This window comes from Homo sapiens, chromosome 5, assembly GCF_000001405.40.
Source record: "Homo sapiens chromosome 5, GRCh38.p14 Primary Assembly".
Classification (NCBI taxonomy): domain Eukaryota; kingdom Metazoa; phylum Chordata; class Mammalia; order Primates; family Hominidae; genus Homo; species Homo sapiens.
Window position 1 is genome coordinate 140,183,250 of NC_000005.10, and position 23,887 is coordinate 140,207,136.

Sequence of the window (23,887 nt, forward strand, 5' to 3'; positions counted from 1 at the left end):
GCAGAGTTCTTCCCTTTTCTCTCTCTCCATGCCCTAACCGCTCCTTTCAATTCCCCAACTCACTTTCTGTGTTCACAGCTTTCTTCCCTTTTCCTTTCCCTTCTGTTCAATACTGCCCTCTCTTTTGAGCCTCTCTCTTGCTGGGCCCCATTTTCTCTCCATTCTCACTTTGAGGGTTGACTATTTGAAGTTCCAATTATAATGCTGTCCTATATGTCCCAGTGACTAGATGTAATTCAGAGATCCCTACCCTATTTTTCTGAGGAGAAGCCAACCTTCATTTCTCTACTGGCTTTCAGATAGCAGTGTTGGTGGGGTACTGACCAGAGTCCCTGAACTGAGTGGTTGGGTGAGGCTGGATGTGCTCCTCCCCGATATGGGGGTCCCAGCAGTATGGGGAAGGTATTATAATCAGGGTTTGCTGACAATGCCAGGATCCATTAGACAAGGGGCTGAGGCTTACCTGTGGGGACCCTTCCATAAGCTGAATGCAGAGGGGAATACTGCATCCAGGCAGTCCTCTAGCTTTTGCAGAGGACCATACATGATGAATGAAGGCTGGAGAAGGAGCCCTTGGGTGAGGTTAGCCTGGAACCCACAGGACTATTTGCAGCTGTGGATCCTGCCCTGAAGCTAGGTTTTCCCAGGTAGCAACTGGACCAAATTGTCTTCCCATGTGGTTAGATGGATTGTTGGAAGCATCTAGGAGCATGGCTTTCCTGCTTAATGAGTTAAAAAATTGATTATTTTCTTGTAAAAGCCATGTGGCTACTTTACCTAAAGATGATTAGCAAGGGTTTTAACTTTCATTGTTAAATATAACATATGTATAAAAAAGTATGTATAATGTACAGTTTAATCAATAATTGTATTCATTAGTGTAACTGTGTGATCTATTCAGGTTTAGAAATAGAAGTTTATTTTTAAACCCAAATGGGGTAATAGAATGCACTGTGTTGCAATTTGTTTTTTTCCCACCATGTTGGTGCTTTTTCATATCAGCACAGGTAGTTCTAACTTATTCTTCTGAAGCGTCATATAGCAGCAGTTCCATGGATTGGAAATACCATGGTTTATTTAACCATTCTCATATTGATGAACATTATATTTAATATATATGCATGTGTATAAAGTTGGGTTTTTTTTTTTTGGCATACCGGCTGGCACTAGTATATATCTGTAAGATAAATTCCTAAAGGTAGAATTGCTCGTTCAAAGGATAGGGTGTTTTTATGTATTTATTTGGGGTTTTACTTAAAAATATGTCTTTATTGAAGAGTTTATAAGAAAAAAGGATAGACCCGCTATAAAAAGAAAGGCTGTCTGCTCTAAACATTAGGGAGGAATGGGACACCAATACCTGGTGGCTAAGGATAGGTCATTTTAGTTGTTGATATTTTCAGGTAGTAATGTCTTTTTTCCCAGGAATGTTTATAAATGTTATATCTTACAGAGCACCAAGCCCTGGATCCAACTAGAGGTTCTTTACAGAAAGCTTTATGGAGAAAGGTTTTAGCAGATGATATGTTATCCTCTGTTGAAGGGAACTTCTCTGAATTCCCTCAGAAAGTCTCTAAGTCTGGAAGAATGCTAAAATGTACCTACCAAGTTTAGTATTGGAGGGAGACAAGATTGACTGTAGTCACATTTTCAAATAATTCTGAACTATGGATAATTAATGTAGGTATGGTATGACTTTTCAGAATTTGCTGTTCCTAATCTATCAGGACAAGTTGAGAATACTTACATCTTTGTGTTATCTTAATGTTGGGGATAGCGGCTTAAAGCAATTATCTGAATGGCATTAGCAAACTATGTTACTAAATAGTTTGTAGATTTTTAGCTTCATATGAACTCAGTTATAAAAGCAGTGTGTGGTTTTTGTATCAGATATTTTTTGTGAGAAAGGAAAATAAGACAGTCTCTGAACCTCTTCATCACTCTGGGCCAGGGCCTTCAGAGGTAGATGATCCATTGTTAGTTTTTGCCTTCCATGTGCACTTTGATGCCCTTGTTCAGCGAAAGGTCCCATATCTGAGCTGTGTATCATTTTGTACTCCATAGAGGGGCTATTGTGAAGCCACAGCCAAAATGTTGATACAAAAGATACGTTCTAATACTTATTCATTCATTGACTATATGAGAATAGCTCAGGGCCTGGTAAAACTCTGGCAAACAAGAGATATTGAATGAAGTAGGGGATGGCTAATGATATTTGGGAGGTTGAGACCAGAATCAGTATTTGGACAATAATGGAGTAATACTGCAGGTTGTCTTCCTCCAGTCTGTCCCTAAAAGAAGAGCAATTTAGAAAATGGCAATACCCAGCAATGTGTTTAAAATGCTGAGCAAGTCGTAAAAAGAAATATCTTGTCCACGTTATGCTGACTATCAGAGGTCTCCTGGTGTTGCACTGTTACTGGGAGCACTGCTACCATCTTTAAAAATGTAAATCCCTGCTATTGCTATCCCCCTGGGGCTCCTGTGTTAAAGTGTCCATATCAGGAGCAAGTTCTTCCTAGGAGAAGGCCTACAGTTCTGGAATGCCTATTGTTGTGACTTTGGCCTTGGGTTTAAGATTTGAGACCATCATTTCTTACCTCTGCTCACTGTACATTCACAAGTATGGTATGACTCTTCCGATTGGGGAGTCATTTGGGCTTCTACTTATACTTCAGTTTTAGTAACTTGTGTAACACTTTGAGGTAACTGCCTTTTGGACCTCCCAAAGTAAGTTTTGTCTATTCTGTCAAACTACCTTCACCATATCCTTAAAATTTGGAAAACTTCCAGCATATTCCATCTGATGCAATAGCAGACAAATGGAAGTGATAATTTTATTTATATTAATAGCAATACTGAAGGGGAGGAGCAAGCCAGCTATATAGTTCTTTACCTCTTATCTCCAGCTCTAGGCCTGATATGTAGTAGGTACTTAATACATATGAAATAAGTGAATTATTAAGTTTGTCAATAGTATTCAACAAACAAACATAAAGTTACATGAATCCTTTTAAAAGAAATAAAGAATAACGATAGAAAAGGAAGATGCAGCAAACCTAGAAGTCTGCTCTTAGCAAGGCTGTTTATGAGCTGACCCTTTGGCCTCATCCCGTGAAGTGTGCTTCAGCCATTAGAACCTAGTCAGTTCCTCAAATGTGCTTTGCTTTTTCTCTGAAACATCTCACAGATTCTTGCCTCTGCAGAGTATGAAATTTGGAGTAATACGAATTTCTGTTTATGCTTAGTCATGTGATCATCACTTCTATTAGAATCTTTCTCTGACTTCCCTGAGTAATTAGTTATCTCTACTTTGAGCTTACAGTACGCTCTGCTTCCTCTATCTTCGCTTGGTTTTGTGATTGCTGGTGTTATTGTCTGTCTCTCTCATACCCTGAATAGGAACTGTCTCTTGCTTACCATTATCTCAGCAGCACCTGGAACCCAGTAGTACTGGGTTATAGTTGATGCTCCTATAAGTATTTATGGATGAACAAATGACTGTGTGAATGGAATAAACTAATATGTCAATGCCAAAATTTGATGAAAACTCTAAACCAGAGATGATATGGCAGTATAAAACTCAGTAATTCTAGGCCAGGTGTGGTGGGTTACACTGTAATCCCAGCACTTTGGGAGGCTGAGGCGGGCAGATTGCCTGAGGTCAGGAGCTCAAGACCAGCCTGGCCAACATGGTGAAACCCCATCTCTACTAAAAATACAAAAATTAGCCAGCCATGGTGGTGCACGCCTGTAATCCCAGCTGCCCTGGAGGCTGAGGCAGGAGAATCGCTTGAACCCGGAAGGCAGAGGTTGTAGTGAGCCGAGATCGCACCACTGCCCTCCAGCCTGGGCGACAAAGTGAAACTCTATCTCAAAAAACAAACAAACAAATAAACAAACACCTCAGTAATTCTAAAACTTTTTTTTTTTTTTACCTGAACAAACTGCACCCAAAATTATAGATGTGAGAGTCAAGACATATTGAGGGACTTAGAATGTAAAGTGGTCTATTTACAAAGGTTTTGTTAAAAAAACAGCTAATGGGGAGTTAAAAAAAAAAAAAAGACACCGAGGTCTCTAGGGTAAGATCTGCTCTCATAGTTTTTGTTTGTTTGTTTTGTTTTGTTTTTGAGATAAGGTCTTGCACGGTCTCCCAGGCTTGAGTGCCGTGGTGTGATCACGGCTCACCTCAGCCTCAATCTCCCAGGCTCAAGTGATTCTCCCACCTCAGTCTCCCCCAGGTAGCTGGGACTACAGATGTATGCCACCACACCCAGCTCAATTTTCCTATTTTTTATAGAGACAAGGTCTCACTATGTTGCCCACACTGGTCTCAAACTCCTAGGCTCAAACAATCCACCTGCCTTGGTCTCCCAAAGGGCCGGGATTACAGGTGTGAACCATGGTGCCTGGCCCTGCTCTTATGTTTTTAAACTTTAATTTTATAAGTTACCAAGAAAGATAAATTGAAGGACATAAGGATAAGCATGACTTTAGGCTTTGATAATAAGAAGGGTTCCAAGATAGAGAAGTCTGTATGTAACCAAAAGAATTTGGTTTTTTACCCCAAGTCTGGTACCCAACCAAGTGACTTTTTGGTTTGAAGCAGAAAGAAAACATTTGAAGACCTTAGAGAACCAAAGTGTCTTGTGAAAAAAAAAAATTGCAACTACAAAAATCACCTTAAAAAGCAGTGAAGAGCAGATTTTGACTAGATCATTAACAAGAGGAAAATAAGTAATGAGAAGGCAAATTGGTATATCAGAAGTGAATAGGAGGTTTAAAGTGGCATTTTAAAAAATATTTGTTAATTTTAACTTTTTTTTTTTTTTTTTTAGAGACAGGGTCTTTCTTGTTCTGTTGCCCAGACTAGAGTGTAGTGTCATGATCATAGCTCACTGCAGCTCAAACTCCTGGGCTGAAGTGATCCTCCCACCTCAGCCTCACAAGCAGCTAGGACTATGTATAACACCACAGCTTGCTAATTTTTTTGCGGGGGGAAGGGGGGAGGGTAGACACAAGGTTTCACTATGTTACCCTAACCAGGCTGGTCTTGAACTCCTGGCCTCAAGTGATTCCCCTGTCTCAGCCTCCCAAGTCACTGACATTATAAGCATGAGCCCTGAGCCCAGCTAAAGTGGCATTCTAGCTATTAAAAATGGCAGGCAGCATGGATATATATCTGAAAGCACTAGGAAAACTTAATCTTTTTCTGACTGTATAGGTTCTCTTGAAATTTTCAGAAATACAGACGAGTGGCTGGGCGCGGTGGCTCACGCCTGTAATCCCAGCACTTTGGGAGGCCGAGGCGGGCGGATCACGAGGTCAGGAGATCGAGACCACGGTGAAACCCCGTCTCTACTAAAAATACAAAACATTAGCTGGGCGCAGTGGCGGGCGCCTGTAGTCTCAGCTACTCGGGAGGCTGAATCAGGAGACTGGCGTGAACCCGGAAGGCGGAGCTTGCAGTGAGCCGAGATCACGCCACTGCAGTCCCACCTGGGTGGAAGAGCGAGACTCCGTCTCAAAAAAAAAAAAAAAAAAGAAATACAGATGAGTATAATAAAAATTGCCCACAATTCCAGCACCCAAGGAAAACCACAATAAATATATTTTTTCTAGCAAAATATCTGCTGTTACTGTACAATTTACAATAAAGTTTGAAAATCTTAATGTACAACTCAATACATTTATATGTATTCATGTAAACATGACTCAGCTCAAGATACAGAATGTTTCCATCATTCCTGAAGGTTCCCTTCTATCTTCCCCTCAGTATTCATAAATTTGTTTTGGTATCTTTCTTTTCAGTATCCACAGATTTGTTTTGGCTGTTCTTGTACCTCATATAAATGGAATCACAGAATGATATAGTTTGGATATTTGTCCTCTCCAGATCTCATCTTGGGATGTGATCCCCAATTATGGAGGTGGGTTGGTGGGAGGTGTTTGGGTCATAGGGGTGTATCCTTCATGAATGGCTTGGTGTCCTCTTTATGGTAATGAATGAGTTCTCACTCTATTAGTCAAGTGAGATCTGGTTGTTTAAAAGAGTCTGAGATCTCCCCCCACTCTCTTGCCCCCTCTCTCATCATGTGATGTGCCTGCTTCACCCTTTGTCTTCCACCATGATTGTAAGCTACCTGAGAGCTTCACCAGACACAGATGCCAGCACTATGCTTCTTGTACAGTCAGCAGAACCATGAGCCAAAATAAACCTCTTTTATTTATAAATTGCCCAGCCTCAGTTAGTCCTTTATAGCAACACAAAACAGACTAAGTAGAGTATTATTGAAGTCTGTTGAGTCTGCCTTCTTTTGCTCACACGTTGTGGCTGGGATTCATCCATGTTGTTTCACGTAATAATAGTTATTTTATTTATTGTTTTGGGGTCATTTTCTACTGTGAAAATATATAATAATTGTTCTGCTGTTGATGAACATTTGGATAGCTTTCAGTTTGGGACTATTATAAATAAAACTGCTTTGAACATTCTTGTAAAAGTCTTTTGGTGGACTTACACACTTGTTTCACTTCTATATATATATATCTAAGAGCTTCTGGGTCATAATGTAAATACTGCAAAAGTCATGAATATTTGGTATACTTTCTTCTAAAAGCTTGATTGGTTTAGCTTTTGCATAGGTCTGTGATATGTTGTGATTTTTTTTCTGTGATATATTGTGGATTTTTTTAATGTATGAGCATGGAGATCAAGGGTCATTTCTCCCAACACAAGGATAACCAATTAATCCAGTGCTATTTATTGGAAAGACTACCTTTTCTTTTGTGAATTACGTGGTGCCTGTCTGTTAAATTAGGAGACTGTACTGTATGGATGTGGTTTAGGACTCTTTATTCTGCTCTATTGATCTGTTTTTCAGTATTTATTTTAAAGAAAGTTGAGACATGCTGAATACAGAACTTTTAAATTTTTCTTACACAGTATTACATCATACCTCAAAAGCATAAATTTAAAACAACTGCAAAAAAAACCCTTATTTTTTTTCTTGGATATTTTCTTTCCTTGGATATTTAGGTTGTTTTTTTCCTTCCTCTGTTTTGTTTTGATCTGTTTTTTATGTTGGAGGCCTTCCTCCAATGTCTGATAATCTTTGTCCATTCATTTATGTATGAGGCAGTAAATAGTCCATTAGAAGTTCAGTGTGCATAGGCTTTACTGTGGAGTGACTGGGTGAGTCATTTCTTTGGTGTCTCCCCAATTATTAGTATCTGTCATTTTTTTTCCACTGGGACTGTTCAGTTTTCCAGAGGAAAATTTTCCACTTTACTGTCTGCAGAGTCAGTGCCAGTCCATCTAGCAGGTGTCTTGTAATTTAAAAAAAACAACATTGAAATATATTGCTTTTTTTCCTCCATCTCTACTTTGATGAGGTCTTATCTCCACTGACCACTTTCCCAAAGAATAGTTTCTGCCCTTCTCATTGTGTGGTTGAATGACTGCTAATCCCGTGACTCTGAGTATGTCTTGAATGAGATCGTGGGATAGCAGTGTTCAGTGCAGTCTATTAATGGATCTTGACTGCAGCACTATTTTAGCTGTCCCTTTTAGAGTTCTGATTTGTCTTTAATGCTACAATTTACACTGTTTGCATTTGATCTGTAGTAAAACACTTCACTAGAGTAGGGTTTATATTTTACCTGACCAAATTTATAAGGGAAAGCAGTCATGTTACAAAGTTCAGTATCATACCTTAAATTTAAAGCTCTTTTGAGTTTTGGTTATGTAAAGTGGTTTGTACTATACTGTGTCAGTGTTAGGTAATCTTTTTTGCTTTGCTTTTCTTCTTTACCAGCTTGGGAACAATGGATTCCCACTGGATGAAGTCCTGTTTTTCAAATGCCAGCTCTAGGATCTCTCATCCTGCACACGTGCTCTTTCTGTGACTTTTGCTGTTCTCTCACTGGGATTTTTTTCTTGTTTAGAGGAAACTGAAAATAGATCCAGATTTTTATTCCTCCAAGATAACTGTCTATATTGGGAACAAAGGGAAAGAGTGTATGTGTGGAAGGAGGTCATGGTAGCTGGAGCACCTTTGTAGTTTATGCTTTGTATAAATGCCTCTGTGAATAACTCATGGGATTTTTCCCTTCTAGACCTTACATGCTTTTTTCCTCAGGCAGTTGGAGAAAGATACATACCAAAAATGAGAGGGAAACATGATGAGGGGTAAGTGGGGAGGACGCATACACTTGGAAGAGAGCTTTGAGGTTCTCAGGGAGAGAACTGCACAGGATAATGAGGAATAAATGCAAACAAATGGATCAATAAAAGTCATGAAACATTGAGGTCTGAAGTTGTAGTTCAATACTCTGTTCTTTTTTCTCCTCACTGCCCATTGTTTTTAGATGAACAATGTCTTCAAAGAAATACAGGTCCAGACTTTGCTAGAGTGAGAATGATCTACGTGGTCTTGTTGAACTGATCAGGTTAAACTACAGTTTTAATGAAGTTAGGTTACACACACTGAATTTCAGGACAGAAATAGTTATGATAACTGTATTGTACTTCTGTGATTTAAAAATAAATAATGGAATGGCCATATGGGGATTAATGAGACTGATTTCTGTGTTAACCAGGGCTCACTAGGCTTTCTACAGCCTTCCTGGTAGGAGAGAGGAAATAAAATGCATTTGCTTTTGTCCAAATTCATATGATAATTGTAGTGTTAATCACCATGAGCCTTTGCATTAGGGTTCCTAGGTCAGGGTGTGTTGCCAGTTGCAGACCAGAGCGCAGAGAAGGGAAAGAACTCTACTTTTTTCCTGAGTCCCTTTCAGGCCCTGGAAAAATAAGATGGTGTCAAAAATGGGAGGCAATACAGATGTGGTTGAAATAGAGACCCTCAAGCCATTTGATCCCATAACATAGAGTTTCAATTTATAATCAACTCCTTCAAATGACACTCTCTTGATCAGCACCTCCTTCTACTAGGTTTAAGCGCCTACTCCTACCCAGCAGTCTGTTTACCACATTTTCTAAAAATCATTTTCCTTATGTTTGTTTCAGCCAGTTGCACAAGGGTAGGGTTTGAGGCATATTGATCTCTATACCCCACTACTTAGCCCAGTGTCAAGAAAGCACTTAATAAATGTATGTTTGTGAATGTCACCCAGAAGGGTTCATTACCTTACCTTACCATTGGTTTCCAGGACTGGAAATTCGATAGAGGTAGTTTAGGTTAGGCCAGGCTTTAGTCTTTGATTTAGGAGCTGTTATAAAGTCATCTGGAATCCCATTTCTTTCCTTTTTTCTGCTCTGCCTTTCTGAATGGCCCACTTAATCTTAAAACTGGCTCCTTCTCAGGGCTGCAGATTGGCTGTCAGCAATTTTGTAGGCCAATCTTTCCTAGACTTTGTGTATACCTTTGTACAGGGGAAGGGAAGGTTCGGTGGGAGTGTGTTAAGAGAGTCTGAGCTTTTTACTGATTGAACCACTTCAGAACCAGTCCCAGTGGCCAGGGAGTGCCATTTGCATCTGGGTAAAGTCCTGAATTCCTTGAATCAATCATGATAAAAAAGTGGAGAGAGTGACCCCGATTGGCTTAGATAGACTGGGTTCACCCTGGAGCTGGATGGGATGAGCTTTCCCTGAAGCACATGAACTACAGGAAGAATGAGCAGAGATCTACCTGGAAACCTGACTCCTGTTAGGAAGGGAGAATATGGATGTTGTGTGGGCAACCATCAAAGTCCACTGCTACTGTAATCCAGATTTTCTAGGGAACCTAGACTATTTATAACTATTCTGTCCTTTATATAATAAAGTCACTTAGGAATTTGTTGATTGCCTGTTATGGAAAAGAATTAATAGTGAAATTATTACATTTTGAATCTGAGACTCTTCCCTACTATTTGGTTGGGGATAGAAGACACTCAAATAGGTAAAAAGTTAACTATTGATGTAAGATATGGGTAACAGTACAAGGCAGCAGTATGACAGATGATATGTTAAGTGAGTCATCCTTAGAGTTTATACTTTGCATTCCCCAGTAATTGTTTGTTTGTTTGTTTGTTTGTTTGTTTTTGAGACGGAGTCTCACTTTGTTGCCCAGGCTGGAGTGCAGTGGCACGATCTCAGCTCATTGCAACCTCTACCTCCCAAGTTCAAGCGATTCTCCTGCCTCAGCCTCCTGAGTAGCGGGACTACAAGCACATGCCACCATGCCCGGCTAATTTTTTGTATTTTTAGTAGAGACGGGGTTTCACCATGTTAGCCAGGATGGTCTCAATCTCAACGTGATCCGCCCGCCTCGGCCTCCCAAAGTGCTGGGATTACAGGCATGAGCCACCACACCTGGCCATTTGTTTGTTTTTAATCTGAAAGTCACCGTGCCAGGCACTGTGGAACTTAAAGAGATAATAGAAACAAGACGCTGGCCCTGAAAACTTCAAGCCCAATCAAGAGAATGATTAACAGGCTTGGGGGCTGGGAAGCGTGGCTTCCCTCACAGAAGCAAACCATGGAGGACAGGGTCCTGTAAACACAAATAAATGTTCCTGGTGAGCCCTCCAGAGTCTCAGGGGCCTGGATGGGCAGAGGAGACGCTTGGCATTCTCTATAAACAGCGCTGTCCAACTGCTCAGAGCAGCGGGTCTGGGGAGAACAACCAGATCACCCCAATCCCCAGAGCAATGGTGATGGTTACAAACTTTGGTTGGTCATTGCTGCCAGTGCTGCTCGTTAGAAGGCCCCACTGTGGCCCAGCCCTGTTGATTGGAGGGTTTCTAGTAGTGGATCAGCGTCCACTGATGAGACTCATAGTGCTGTTAGAACACTTTCTTAAAGCTATCCAATCACATTTATGGACACTTCAGAGGAATTAAAAAACAAAATATCTTGCTATTCATTTAACACATTTATTTAGGGGACTGCCTTGTACCAGGCACTCTGCAGTGCTCTAGGGACATGGTGGTGATCCAAAACTTACTTGATATCTACTGTCACAGCCTACAGTCTAGTGGAGGAAATAGACAAAAGGCAAATAAATATATAAGATAATTGCCAATTATAGTGATGGTGAGAAGGAAACAAAATGGGCAGAGCTAGAGATTTGCACAAGGCTTGATACACCTTGAAGGTATTTTGTAAATGATCTTATGGGTTAGGATTTTATTCCTGATGATTTCCACAGTTAAATGCAAATAATTTTCATTCTTTTTGTCTCTTAGGTGCACTTTACAGGTCCCCGATGAACCAAGAGAACCCTCCACCATATCCAGGCCCTGGTCCAACGGCCCCATACCCACCTTATCCACCACAACCAATGGGTCCAGGACCTATGGGGGGACCCTACCCACCTCCTCAAGGGTACCCCTACCAAGGATACCCACAGTACGGCTGGCAGGGTGGACCTCAGGAGCCTCCTAAAACCACAGGTGTGTGTCTCTGAATATGTGGGTGTGCAGTCCCGTGTCACTAAAGGAAATGTTTGCATGTTTTCTTTGGCAGAGAAGAAATTCTTTCCAGCCTTTGCAACTTGTGCTTGATGTCCCCAAAGCTTGATGATGGCTTAGGGTGGATTCTCACTCCTGAGAAGAGGCCCAAGTCAGCTCTGCCTGCTACATTCACACCTCTTGTCCCCTCTGGGGCTGATGACTTCCTGGCCAACGTGTTTTCTGAGGGCTACCCTCTAGAGCACTTGGGGGTGGGGAAGGAATTAGCAGTTGAGTCTTTGCTCTGTAGCCAGCTTTGTATTTTAGGTTTAGTAATTAGCCTCTTGAGTTTATTTTATCTGTCAGCTTGTTGACCCTCAAGTCATCCTCTTGCCCCTGCTACTGGGGTTTTTCTTTTTTTTCTTACTAAATGTTTTCATAATTCTATTTAACCTGCCAGTTGAGTTTTCAGGAGGCTCTTGAGTCCTTCTTGTGTGCTATAGAACAGTGTTACTCAAAGTTCAGTCTGTAGACAAATGCCAGTCAATGAACAGTGAACAGTTATGGACTATATTATATGTACAGAAAGTGAGAGTAAACATTTAGAAACTTTTAGAGCAATTTGGTTTTGCTGTGACATCCAAGTATGTAATCTTGCATTTTACAGAAAGTATCAGTCTGAAAGATTAAAAGTAAAACATCTTGAGGAGCACTGTGCTAGATGTCTTGGTCACTATTTTGTAGCCCTTTGGTTGGCAGAATAGCTGCTCTCTTAATTAGCCCTTTCAGCTTTTTTTTTTTTTTTTTTTTGAGACGGAGTCTCACTCTGTTGCCCAGGCTGAAGTGCAGTGGCGCGATCTCGGCTCACTGCAAGCTCCGCCTCCTGGGTTCACGCCGTTCTCCTGCCTCAGCCTCCTGAGTAACTAGGACTACAGGCGCCTGCCACCACGCCCGGCTAATTTTTTGTATTTTTAGCAGAGACTGTGTTAGCCAGGATGGTCTCAATCTCCTGACCTCGTGATCCGCCCCCCTTGGCCTTCCAAAGTGCTGGGATTACAGGCGTGAGCCACTGTGCCTGGCCAAGATAGCTAATTCTTAAAAAGTGCTTATTATGGCCAGGCACAGTGGCTCATGCCTGTAATCCCAGCACTTTGGGAGGCCAAGGCGGGCAGATCACCTGAGGTCAGGAGTTCAAGACCAGCCTGGCCAACATGGTGAAACCCCGTCTCTACTAAAAATACAAAAACTAGCCAGGCGTGGTGGTACGCGTCTATAGTCCCAGCTACTCAGGAGGCTGAGGCAGGAGAATGGCTTGAACCTGGGAGGCAGAGGTTGCTGTGAGCCAAGGTCACACCATGCACTCTAGCCTGGCGACAGTGAGACTCCATCTCAAAAAAAAAAAAAGTGCTTATTGTGTGTCACATGGTCTCCTAAGTGCTTTATATACATTAACATTTAATCCTTGCAACAATCCTATGAAGTTATTCCCATTTTATAGTGATGTAATAGAGGTACAAAGTTAGAGTAATGACTTGCCCAAGGTCACCTAGCTAGAAGGGGCACTTTCTAGATTAGAATCCTGATAGCTTGGCCTCAAAATCTGTACCTATAATTTATTGCTGTACTGTTGTTCCTCTCCTGCCTTTTCTGAGCTGACTCACATTCATCTGAATTTAGTGACTTATGCTTCCTCTTAGAGATTTTCCTGTCATTTAGTTCTTTACTAATCAAAAGTAATAACAGAATTGATGGCTAATTTTATTCTAGGACTTGATGATTCTCTAGAATAAGAATTTTGCATTCATGGAAAAGATTATACTTTTATAGTGGCAAAGCTTATACTCTGTTAAGATTGAATAGAATATTTGAATACCTTTAAAGAATTTAATTTATCTGGAAGGAAGCTTTTGCAATCCAAGATTGTGTTCTGTTGTAACAGTTTTTATCATGCATGCTCGGAAGAGGGCAGGAAGTATAACCAGTATAATCGGAGTAGTTGGTATTCAGGCCTGTGACATCAGAGAAACATTTTCTGAAAATAAACCTCAGCTTCTGGGTTTTCTGCTTCAAAATAAGGTAACCCTGTGATGAATAAAAGAAAGCAGAAAAGACTACATATGGTATGATTCCATTTATGTGAAATTCAAAAACAGACAAAAACTATGTATGATGCCAGAGATCAAAATAATGGTTACTCCTGGCTGTGGAGTTGGGAAACTAGGGTGGGACTGGTTATTCATTGGGTTAGGAACAAAGGAACTTTCTGGGGTGTTAGGAATATTCTGTATCTTAATCTTGATATAAACATTCTTCAAGATAGATAGTTATGACTTGTGTACTTTGCTGTACGTTTTATGTCAGCAGAGAAAGATAGCCCAGCATTTGAGTTATCCGGTAGACTCAACCCAATGCCTGCCTGGTGTTAGGTCTTTCACCTATAGCCCTCATGGTCTTCCTGTCCATTTCTAGGCCAATATTGTTTATACTGACTCTCTAACTAGCATTTGATGAGTTTAGAACTTTATTGAGTTTGTTTAGAATAAGTGCTTCCTAGGTTCAGTGGACTTTGTCCACTGTTCATGCAGAAAATACAGATTTGGTCATCTTTCTTACCTTTCATGTAATTTAAGTATTGATGTCAGCCTTTTTGATGAAAAATAATTTCTTAATTCTTTTTAGGGTTAAAAGGCTCCTTAGTTCAGTGTTACCAATCACGATTGATTTCACAAATGCAGTTGAAAGCTGTTTAATATCCTTTCCTATGGATATACCCAGGAATTTATTTCTCTGTCATTAGCTTGTGAATTATTAACTGCCCAGATCCTTTCTGCACCCAAACATAGCAGGTAGTGCCAAATGGTCAAATTTTGTCACCTGGGGTCCATGTTCTGTGAATGGGACTCTTGGAAGAATGTAGCCTCACTGAGTGATGAACCCTTTAGGGACCCATTTTATTCCTTGCTTTGGTATTGCTTGTGGGATTCTCAGTCAGAATTATGTGTTCTCATGCTGTGTATCTGAGCTCTATATGGAAATTTAAGCTTTTTCTTTCCAGCTGAATGATTTTAGATTTATCTACTACTGTAGATACTCTCTCCACTCAAGTTCAAGTGTGTGGCATATTATGTTAATGGATACATAGGTAGAAATGGTTTCTTTTTCAAAGGAGGGAGGATCTCCTTTATCCTTAATTGGCGTCTGGTAATTAGTTAGGGCTTAATAAAGGTGTGATGAATGGATGAGCAGGGTCGGGTAGATGGCTAACCTAAGCAGAACCTTCCTTGGTCATCTGTTTATGTTTTAGAATTCATGTGTCAGAGATTGTAGCAAAAAAACCCACCTTTTGTTTTTTTAAGAAGCCAACCTTTTGGAAGCCATGTGATTGGAAGCAGCAAGTGCTTGTAGGAATAAGGTCTCCCAGAAGAGCATACCTGCAGATTATGTCAAGGATCTCCTGGGTGGTTTTTAAGAATAACAACTAGTATTTGTTGAGCACCATGCTTGGTGTTAGCTTTATGTAATCTTCACAACAACCCCATAGTATCAGTCCCATGTTATAGGAGTGGAATCTGAGACTCAGAAAGGTTGTTTCAGTTATCTGTTGTATAACATATCACCCCCAACTCACTGGCTTAAAACAACAATGATTTATTATTTCTCATGATTCTCTGAGTTGGCTGGGAGGCTCTTCTTGCTTCGTGTGATCTTTCGTGGGGTCACTCTTGTTACTTAATTCAGCTGTCAGCCTGTCTGGGTGTAGGCTATCCAAGATGACCTCACTGACATGAGTAGGGTCTTGGTTTGCCTCCACGAGGCCTCTCTCAGCACATAGTCTGTCATCATTAGGTGGTCTAGCTTAAGCTGCTTTACATGACAACTAGCTTCCAATAGAGTGAAAGTGGAAGCTGCCAGGATTTTGGGCTAGGCCCAGAACTGGCACAGCATCACTTACCCCTTATTCCAGTATTCAAAACAAGTCTCAAGGCCAGTCACTTTCAACAGGAGGGGGAACAGATATCACCTTCCTCCTCCCCCTCTTTTTTTGGTATATTCGACATACAATTCATGTACCATACAATTTACCCATTTAAAGTTGTACAATCCAATGGTTTTCAGTATATCAACAGAGTTTTTCAACCATCACCACTATCATAATTCCAGAACATTTTCTTTTATTATTATACTTTAAGTTCTAGGATACATGTGCAGAATGTGCAGGTTTGTTACATAGGTATGCATGTGCCATGGTGGTTTGCTGCACCCGTCATCTACATTGGGTATTTCTCCTAATGCTATCCCTCCCCTAGCCCCCCAACTCCCCGACAGGCCCCAGTGTGTGGTGTTCCCCTCCCTGTGTCCATGTGTTCTCTTTGTTCAGCTCCCACTTATGAGTAAGAACATGTGGTGTTTGGTTTTCTGTTCCTGTGTTGGTTTGTTGAGAATGATGGTTTCCAGCTTCATCCATGTCCCTGCAAAGGACATGAACTCATCCTTTTTTATGGCTGCATAGTATTCCATGGTGTATATGTGCCACATTTTCTTTATCCAGTCTATCATTGATGGGCATTTGGGTTGGTTCCAAGTTTTTGCTATTGTGAATAATGCTGCAATAAACATACCTGTGCATGTGTCTTTATAGTAGAATGACTTATAATCCTTTGGGTATATACCCAGTAATGGGATTGCTGGGTCAAATGGTATTTCTGGTTCTAGATCCTTGAGGAATTACCACACTGTCTTCCACAATGGTTAAACTAATTTACGCTCCCACCAGCAGTGTAAAAGTGTTCCTATTTCTCCACATCCTCTCCAGCATCTATTGTTTCCTGACTTTTTATTGTTTTTGTTTTGTGTTTTTTGAGATGGAGTCTCACACTGTCGCCCAGGCTGGAGTGCAGTGGCGCGATCTTGACTTACTGCAACCTCCACCTCCGGGGTTCAAGCGATTCTCCTGCCTCAGCCCCCTGAGTAGCTGGGATTACAGGCATGCGCCACCATGGCTGTAATTTTTGTATTTTTAGTAGAGATGAGGTTTCACCATATTGGTCAGGCTGGTGTTGAATTCCTGACCTAGTGTTCTGCCCACCTTGGCCTCCCAAAGTGCTGGGATTACATGCGTGAGCCACGGTGCCCAGCCGTTTCCTGACTTTTTAATGATCACCATTCTAACTGGCGTGAGATGGTATCTCATTGTGGTTTTGATTTGCATTTCTCTAATGACCAGTGATGATGAACTTTTTTTCATATGTTTTTGGACGCATAAATGTCTTCTTTTGAGAAGTGTCTGTTCATATTCTTTGCCCACTTTTTGATGGGGTTGTTTTTTTCTCATAAATTTGTTTAAGTTCCTTGTAGATTGTGGATATTGGCCCTTTGTCAGATGGATAGATTGCAAAAATTTTCTCCCATATTGTAGGTTGCCTACATATGGGATGATGATAGTTTCTTTTGCTGTGCAGAAGCTCTTTAGTTTAATTAGATCCCATTTGTCAGTGTTGGCTTTTGTTGCCATTGCTTTTGGTGTTTTAGCCATGAAGTCTTTGCCTATGCCTATGTCCTGAATGGTATTGCCTAGGTTTTCTTCTAGGGTTTTTATGGTTTTAGGTCTTACGTTTAAGTCTTTAATCCATATTGAGTTAATTTTTGTATAAGGTATAAGGAAGGGGTCCAGTTTCAGTTTTCTGCACATGGCTAGCTAGTTTTCCCAATACCATTTATTAAATAGGGAATCCTTTCCCCATTGCTTGTTTTCGTCAGGTTTGTCAAAGATCAAGTGGTTATAGATGTGTGGTGTTATTTCTGAGGCCTCTGTTCTGTTCCATTGGTCTATATACAGAACACTTTCATCACCCCAAAAAGAAACCCTTTAGCAATCTCTCCCCATTTCCTTCCACTCTTCCCCCCGGCCTTTTTTTTTTTTTTTTTTTTTGAGGCAGAGTCTCACTCTGTCGCCCAGGCTGGAGTGCAGTGGCACAATCTCGGCTCACTGCAAACTCTGCCTCCCGGGTTCACGCCATTCTCCTGCCTCAGCTTCCCGAGTAGCTGGGACTACAGATGCCTGCCACCATGCTCAGCTAATTTTTTTATTTTTAGTGGAGACGGGGTTTCACCGTGTTAGCCAGGATGGTCTTGATCTCCTGACCTGATGATCCGCCCACCTCAGCCTCTCAGAGTGCTGGGATTACAGGCGTGAGCCATCGCGCCCGGCCTCTTCCCCACCATTAATCTACTCTGTCTCTATAGATTTGTCTGTTCTGGACATTTTGTATAAATGGAACCATACAATATTTGGTCTTTTGTTACATGCTTCTTTCACTTAGCTTGATATTTCCAGGGTTCATCTATGTTGTAGCATGTATCAATACTTTATTCCTTCCTATTGCCAAATAATATTCCATTGTGGATATACCACGTTTTAGTTATCCTTTCATTGGTTGATGGGCATTTAGGTTGTTTCTACTTTATGGCTATTAGGAATAATGAATAATGGCTGTTATAAACATTTGTATAAAATAGACTCCATCCTGGAGGAATGGCATGTGAATACAGGGTGAGAGGAATTGGTGACCGTCTGTGCAAACAGTCCACCACATTCTGCCCTTTGCTCTCAACAATTTACATCCCCCTCATATGCAAAATATATCCACCCCCTTCCACCACCACTAGATGTCTCATCCAATAATTACATCAGCTTGAAATCCAGAATATTATCATCTAGGTAGTCTATATGTAGGTAAGGCCTCTAACCTGCCATACTGGTCCATATACCCTAACTTTGTTCATGCTGCTTCCTTTACTTCCCACCTCTCATTCCCACTCTGCCACAACCTACCCTACACATCTCTGGCGATCAAAAGAAAATATCTCTTCTTCCTTGAAGCTTTTGCTTACCTATACTATACCTCCAGTAGAATTTACCACTCCTATTTGCTTCAACTGCACCCTATACAGACTTCTTTCAGAGCCCTTCTTCTTGCTCCAGATTCAATAGTGTCTACCTTATGTACAGTCCATTTTAGCTTTTTTATGTCTGAATTCAATCAACCTTGCTCTTAGTGTTTAGGCTTTCACTGTTTGTTTTGGTCAAGACTCTTAAGGCTACAAGTGATAGAACCTTAGCCTTAGATATTAACCAGCAACGGAGGTTCACCAGACATCTGAGTAAAGAAAGCCTCCAAGATAAAAGATGATGATCCAAACAGAAAAAAGGGATTCTGAGGGAACAAACATTGCAGGGAGAAGAAAACCCTCCTACCAGAAAGTGGGGGAATCCTCTAATACTCTTTTTTTTTTTTTTTTTTTTTTTGACGGAGTCTTGCTCTGTCATCCAGGCTGGAGTGCAGTGGCGCAATCTCGGGTCACTGCAACCTCCGCCTCCCAGGTTCAAGTGATTCTCCTGTCTCAGCCTCCCGAGTAGCTGGGATTACAGGCATACGCCACCAAGCCCAGCTAATTTTTGTATTTTTAGTAGAAATGGGATTTCACTGTATTGGCCAGGCTGGTCTCAAACTCCTGACCTCAGGTGATTCACCCTCCTCGGCCTCCTAAAGTGCAGGGATTACAAGCATGAGTCACTGCGCCTGGCCTGCTAATATTCTTAAGTTATACTGAAGATAAATCTTATTGAAATAAGAGCAGTGGTACTGTATAAAATGAACTCTGGAAACAAAAGCACTTAGCAAAGAACAATGTGAAACTGATCTCACCCTAAGGATTAGATCCAAAAGGTCCATTTGGCAGCCAGATCTTGCCAGAGCAGAATTTAAGGCATTTGCCATAGGTGGAAGGTTGATGTATGTTTTGGTTATCTATTGTTACGTCACAAACCACCCCCAATCTTAGAGGTTCCATAATTTGGACAGGGCTTGAGCAGAAAGATTGATTCATCTCTGCTCCTTGTTGGCACCTACTGAGGCTGGAACGTAGATAATGATAAGCAATTTGCTGGGTTGGATTTGTACACTTTCTACCGTCCAATATGATCCATCAACTTTCTTCTTGGCTTTGTATTATGTCCAAAAGGGTACTCTTGGATTGACTTACACTTGCAATACAGAGAAAGAAGCCATTTGGTTTGGCCAGTGCTTTAGAAGGGAGAAAGGGGTGGGAGCATGATGTCCAACTGCTGGGAGGGGTCAGGAGGCACCTACATGCTAGTATTTCTGTGTGCATTCCAAACCAGTGTTGGGTTTCTCCACTTCTACTGGCTTTGTTTGATCTTATTGTCCTTGAAGATTTGATTAACTTCAACCCTATTCTGTCAGCTGTTTCAGTTCCAATGGAACCTTGTAATTCTGGCTCATTATAACAAGAAATTATCTCAAATCCAAAAAGAAAAAAAAATCACGTCTGGTATTTCAGCTGACATGATTGAAACAGCGTAGGGTTGGTTGTCTCTGTCCCTCTGCATGGTCTCTCAGTGCTGCTGTCACAGCATGAGAGTTTCAGAGTAGGTGGGTTTTTTCCATGTTACAATGCAAGAATGGAATCTGCCAGGCCTTCCTGCACATGTACCCCTGAACATAAAATAAAAGCCTTAAAAAAGAAATGAAACAAAAAACTTTCGATTTAACTTCTAATTTTGAAACAATTTCAGACTTAGAAAAACATTGCAAAGATAATACAAATGGTTCTGTATACCTTTCATCCCGATTTCCCCAAACCTTACATAGCCACAATACAATGATCCATCAGGCTTTTTCACCCCCTTGGCTCAGAAGTCACACAATGTCACATCCATCACACTCTTGGTCAAAGCAACATGAAGTCTATCTAGCCTAGTTTCAAGGGGAGGAAAATAGACTTCATTCCTTGTTGGGAGAGTGGTAAGTCACATTGCAAAAAGGCATATGGGATGGGAGATCTTTGGAAACATTACCACAAGTTTCAGTGGTGACAGGTGAATTCCTGTTGACTGAAACATTCTAAATAACAAAACTATTTCTAGATTCTAATAAATATGCCATAGTATCATAACTGTTTAAAGTGAAAAATTAAACACTATAACTAGGCTTATATCAGAATATAGGTGATCTGTCATTTTAAGGATACTCCTGTGAATTGGTTAGAAAGTCATGGAAGAAGGGGGTTTTTTATTTTATCACCAAATTGAAATGACTTCCACTCAGATACCTTGAATCATCAGAAGTAGAAGAGTCCTCACATGATCATCTGGGTTAGTTATTACCCTCTGACCTTATAGCAAACATCACTAGGCAATTACAGCTCCTTTCACTAAGCGTGAATACAGCTTCAGCATACCCCAGCATTCTAGACAGGAACCGTGAATAGATTTGAATTGTTAGGAGTAAGACGAACCCATTTACCATTCCTTGCTAGGTTAACCCCCTCTTTTTAGAGACATTTAAACTGAAGCCCAGAGAAGTTTAGTGACTTTCCAGGGTCAGTAAGTTTTAACTAGAATATAAGTTTCCTGCCAGGTGCAGGAAACTCATGCCTGTAGTCCCAGCACTTTGGGAGGCTGAGACAGGAGCATCGCTTGAGGCCAGGAGTTCGACACCAGCCTAGGCACCGTACTAAGACACCACACATCTCTACAAATAATAAAAGAAAATTATCCAGGTGTGGTAGTGCGTGCCTGTAGTCCGATCTGCTCAGGAGGCTGAGGCAGGAGGATCACCTGAGTCCAGGAGTTCCAGGCTACAGTGAACTAGGATTGAGCCACTGCACTCCAGCTTGTGCGACAGAGCAAGACCCTGTCTCTCAACAACAACAAAACGTCTCCTGATCCCAGGCTAAGTGCATTTCTTCATTATGCCCTGCTGCTGTGATACAGCACAGATTCCACAGAAATTCTCAAACACCACCAAAGGAAAATATTTCCAGCCTTTTCCCTTCCTTATCTGCACCCCCCCACCCCTAAAACATACAAAAACAAAACAAAAAACCACCAAAAAATTATAACAGAACACCAGTTTCCTGGTAGACAGAGGTAAAGTGGAGTGCAATAAAGCTGGATTCAAATCTCATTAACACTAGGACCTGAGCAAATTATTTTACCTCCCTGATCTTTGAGTGTGCCCTGCCTCCCCTTGTATGCTTCTCAAAGACGTTTTTTTCTTCTTTCACCTCTGCTTCCACTGCATCTTCAACAGTGCTGAGCGCGTGTGTGTGTGTATGTGTATGTGTATATGCTCAGTAAATACGTGTTAGATGAATGCAAGTATTACCATTTCAAAGGGTGGTTGTGAGTTCATGTTCAGTGTCTGGTGCCCTTGTCACTTTCCCTTAGAGACCCTTCCCTTGCTATTTTAACTCCCATAAGTCCAGATATTGGGGTTTTATTTATGTTCTTCTGGGGTAGGACTGTGATATCTGGCAACATACGGATTTAAAATGAAATAAGTTCTACTTTAGCACAGTCCATTGGGATGCCCCCATGGAGCTCAAAAGCCTCATGGGCCTTTGAACCAGATTTCTAAGCCTGTATGTTGGGAACTACCCAGTGACCCTGGTTCTTTGTGATTTGAAGACATGAAAAGGGAGTGCATCTTCAGGGGTACCCTTTTGGGCCCACCGGGCCATTGGCCAGCCAGCAGAATGTTATGGGAGGCCTCTATATTCCACGGTCAGAGATTGTGGGGGAGGTGATAGAATGGCATATTTCTCCTGCACACTCTTCTTGGTGTCTTATGCTGCTTTCATTAGTCAGTGTGAGGAAAGAAGAGGAAGGAAATTTAACGGTCTGGCATCTCTGACTAATTGGCTCTAAGTATGGAATTACTGCCTGGCTTGTTTGAGCCTTTTATACTTTCTTTCATCAGAAACTCCAATCAGGCATTTTCATTGCCCTGGAAAGCCTTTCCAGCATAGACCAGTCCAGTGCCTTCTTTCTTTGCCAGGTATCAGATGACAGAATGTCCCAACAAGGACACTGCTTAGTGCCACCAAGAGCCACATTGGCTTAGAATCTAGGTAGAGTTTTTCCAGTTCCCTGAGCTTCTGCCTTCTTGTCTGTAGAGCTGGGATTACGGGATTGTGATAAAGAATAAATAAAGTAATGCATCTTTACAGTTTATGGCACCTTGATGAGCAGTGAGGAAGTTAGTACCCTCCCCTGGCCCACACAAATTTTCTGAATTTTTGCTTAGGGATGGATAGGGGTGGGGAAGACAAAGCTCTCTGGAAAGCAGGGAAAGCCAGTTGCTGAGGGTCACTCCTGATCTATCCCCACTGGCCTGAGGAAACTGGGACAGCTCCAAAGTCATCTCTCATCTGCAATCATGGCCATATAATTGATCCCCTCCTCCTGCTCATGCCCTCTGCTGTCTTATTCTCAAGACCGCCTAATAGCTTTCCATTTCACTGGAGTGAAAGCTAGAATCCTTGCAGCAACTAGCAAGTCCCTTTGTGAGCGGGCTGCTGCCACCTCTCTGACTCCTGCCACTTTGCCCCTGCGCCCTCTGCTCCACCTTCCCTCCCTTCCTCACCAGGCACATTCCAACTCTAGGGCTTTTGCCCTTGCCATGCCTTTCCCTCAGACATCCACAGCTTACAGTCTCACTTTCTTTTGAGCCTTGTTCAGCTGCCACCTAGTCAGAAAGGCCTTCCAGTCACCTCCCCCTCCCCCACCCCATATAATTGTAGCGCCCCCACTGGCACTCTCTGTCCCTGTTCTTCTGCCTGTTTTCCTTGCCTGACATACTGTGTTTACTTGTTCATTGGCTGCCTTTCTCTTCCCACTGGAGTATAAGCTCCTTGAAGGCAGAGATTTTTGAATGTTATATTCACTACTGAATTTTAAATATTTCTTGAATAGTTGAATGTCCCCCTCTCCCAATCTCCTCGGGCTGCTCAGGGTATCCTGTGAGGTATTTCTCCTTCTGGCCTTACCTTGGGTTCCTTTTCCTCCTCCTCTCATCTGTACAGAATCCTGGGAGTATTGAGCTGCTGCTTCCTGAATTGCTGACATGTGTCAGGGCCTTGTGCTGAGCACTGTTGTTTGTTTGTTTGTTTGTTTGTTTGTTTGTTTCTTTTTTGAGACAGGATCTTGCTCTGTCACCCAGGCTGGAGTATAGTGGCATAAACAAGGTTCACTGCAGCCTTGACTTCCTGGGCTCAAGTGATTCTCCCATCTCAGCCTCCCAAGTAGCTGGGACCACAGGCATGTGCCATTGTACCTAGCTAATTTTTAAAAAATTTTTTGTAGAGAGGGGTCTCACCAAACACTGCCCCGGTTGGTCTTGAGCTCCTGGACTCAAGTGATCTGCCCGCCTCAGACTCCCCAAAGTGCTGGGATTACAGGCGTGTGCCACCAAGGCTGTCTCAGTTTATCTTCTAAACTGAGGATAATCCATTTAACTTTCCCCCTTCCTTTCACATCTCTGAGCACATATCCTGGGACATCCATTTGAATCTTCCAGTGCCCAAATGGTGTTTTCATGGAATGCCTCGGAAAAGTTTCACATAGACAGGGCCAGCATCTTTTAAGACTTTAGCTGGGTCTGTCAGAGGCTTGAGAAGCTTG

At 41.7% G+C, this 23,887-nt stretch overlaps 1 protein-coding gene across 1 annotated transcript in view; it reads left to right on the forward strand.

The window, feature by feature from the left end:
• The window catches only part of CYSTM1 (cysteine rich transmembrane module containing 1), a 68,602-nt gene that overhangs the window by 8,062 nt on the left and 36,653 nt on the right, over positions 1 to 23,887 (forward strand). The window contains exon 2 of the mRNA NM_032412.4: positions 11,197 to 11,403. Within this exon, the coding sequence (NP_115788.1) occupies positions 11,217 to 11,403 (187 nt within the window). The 5' untranslated portion in view covers positions 11,197 to 11,216. The remainder of the gene's footprint in view (positions 1 to 11,196; positions 11,404 to 23,887) is intronic.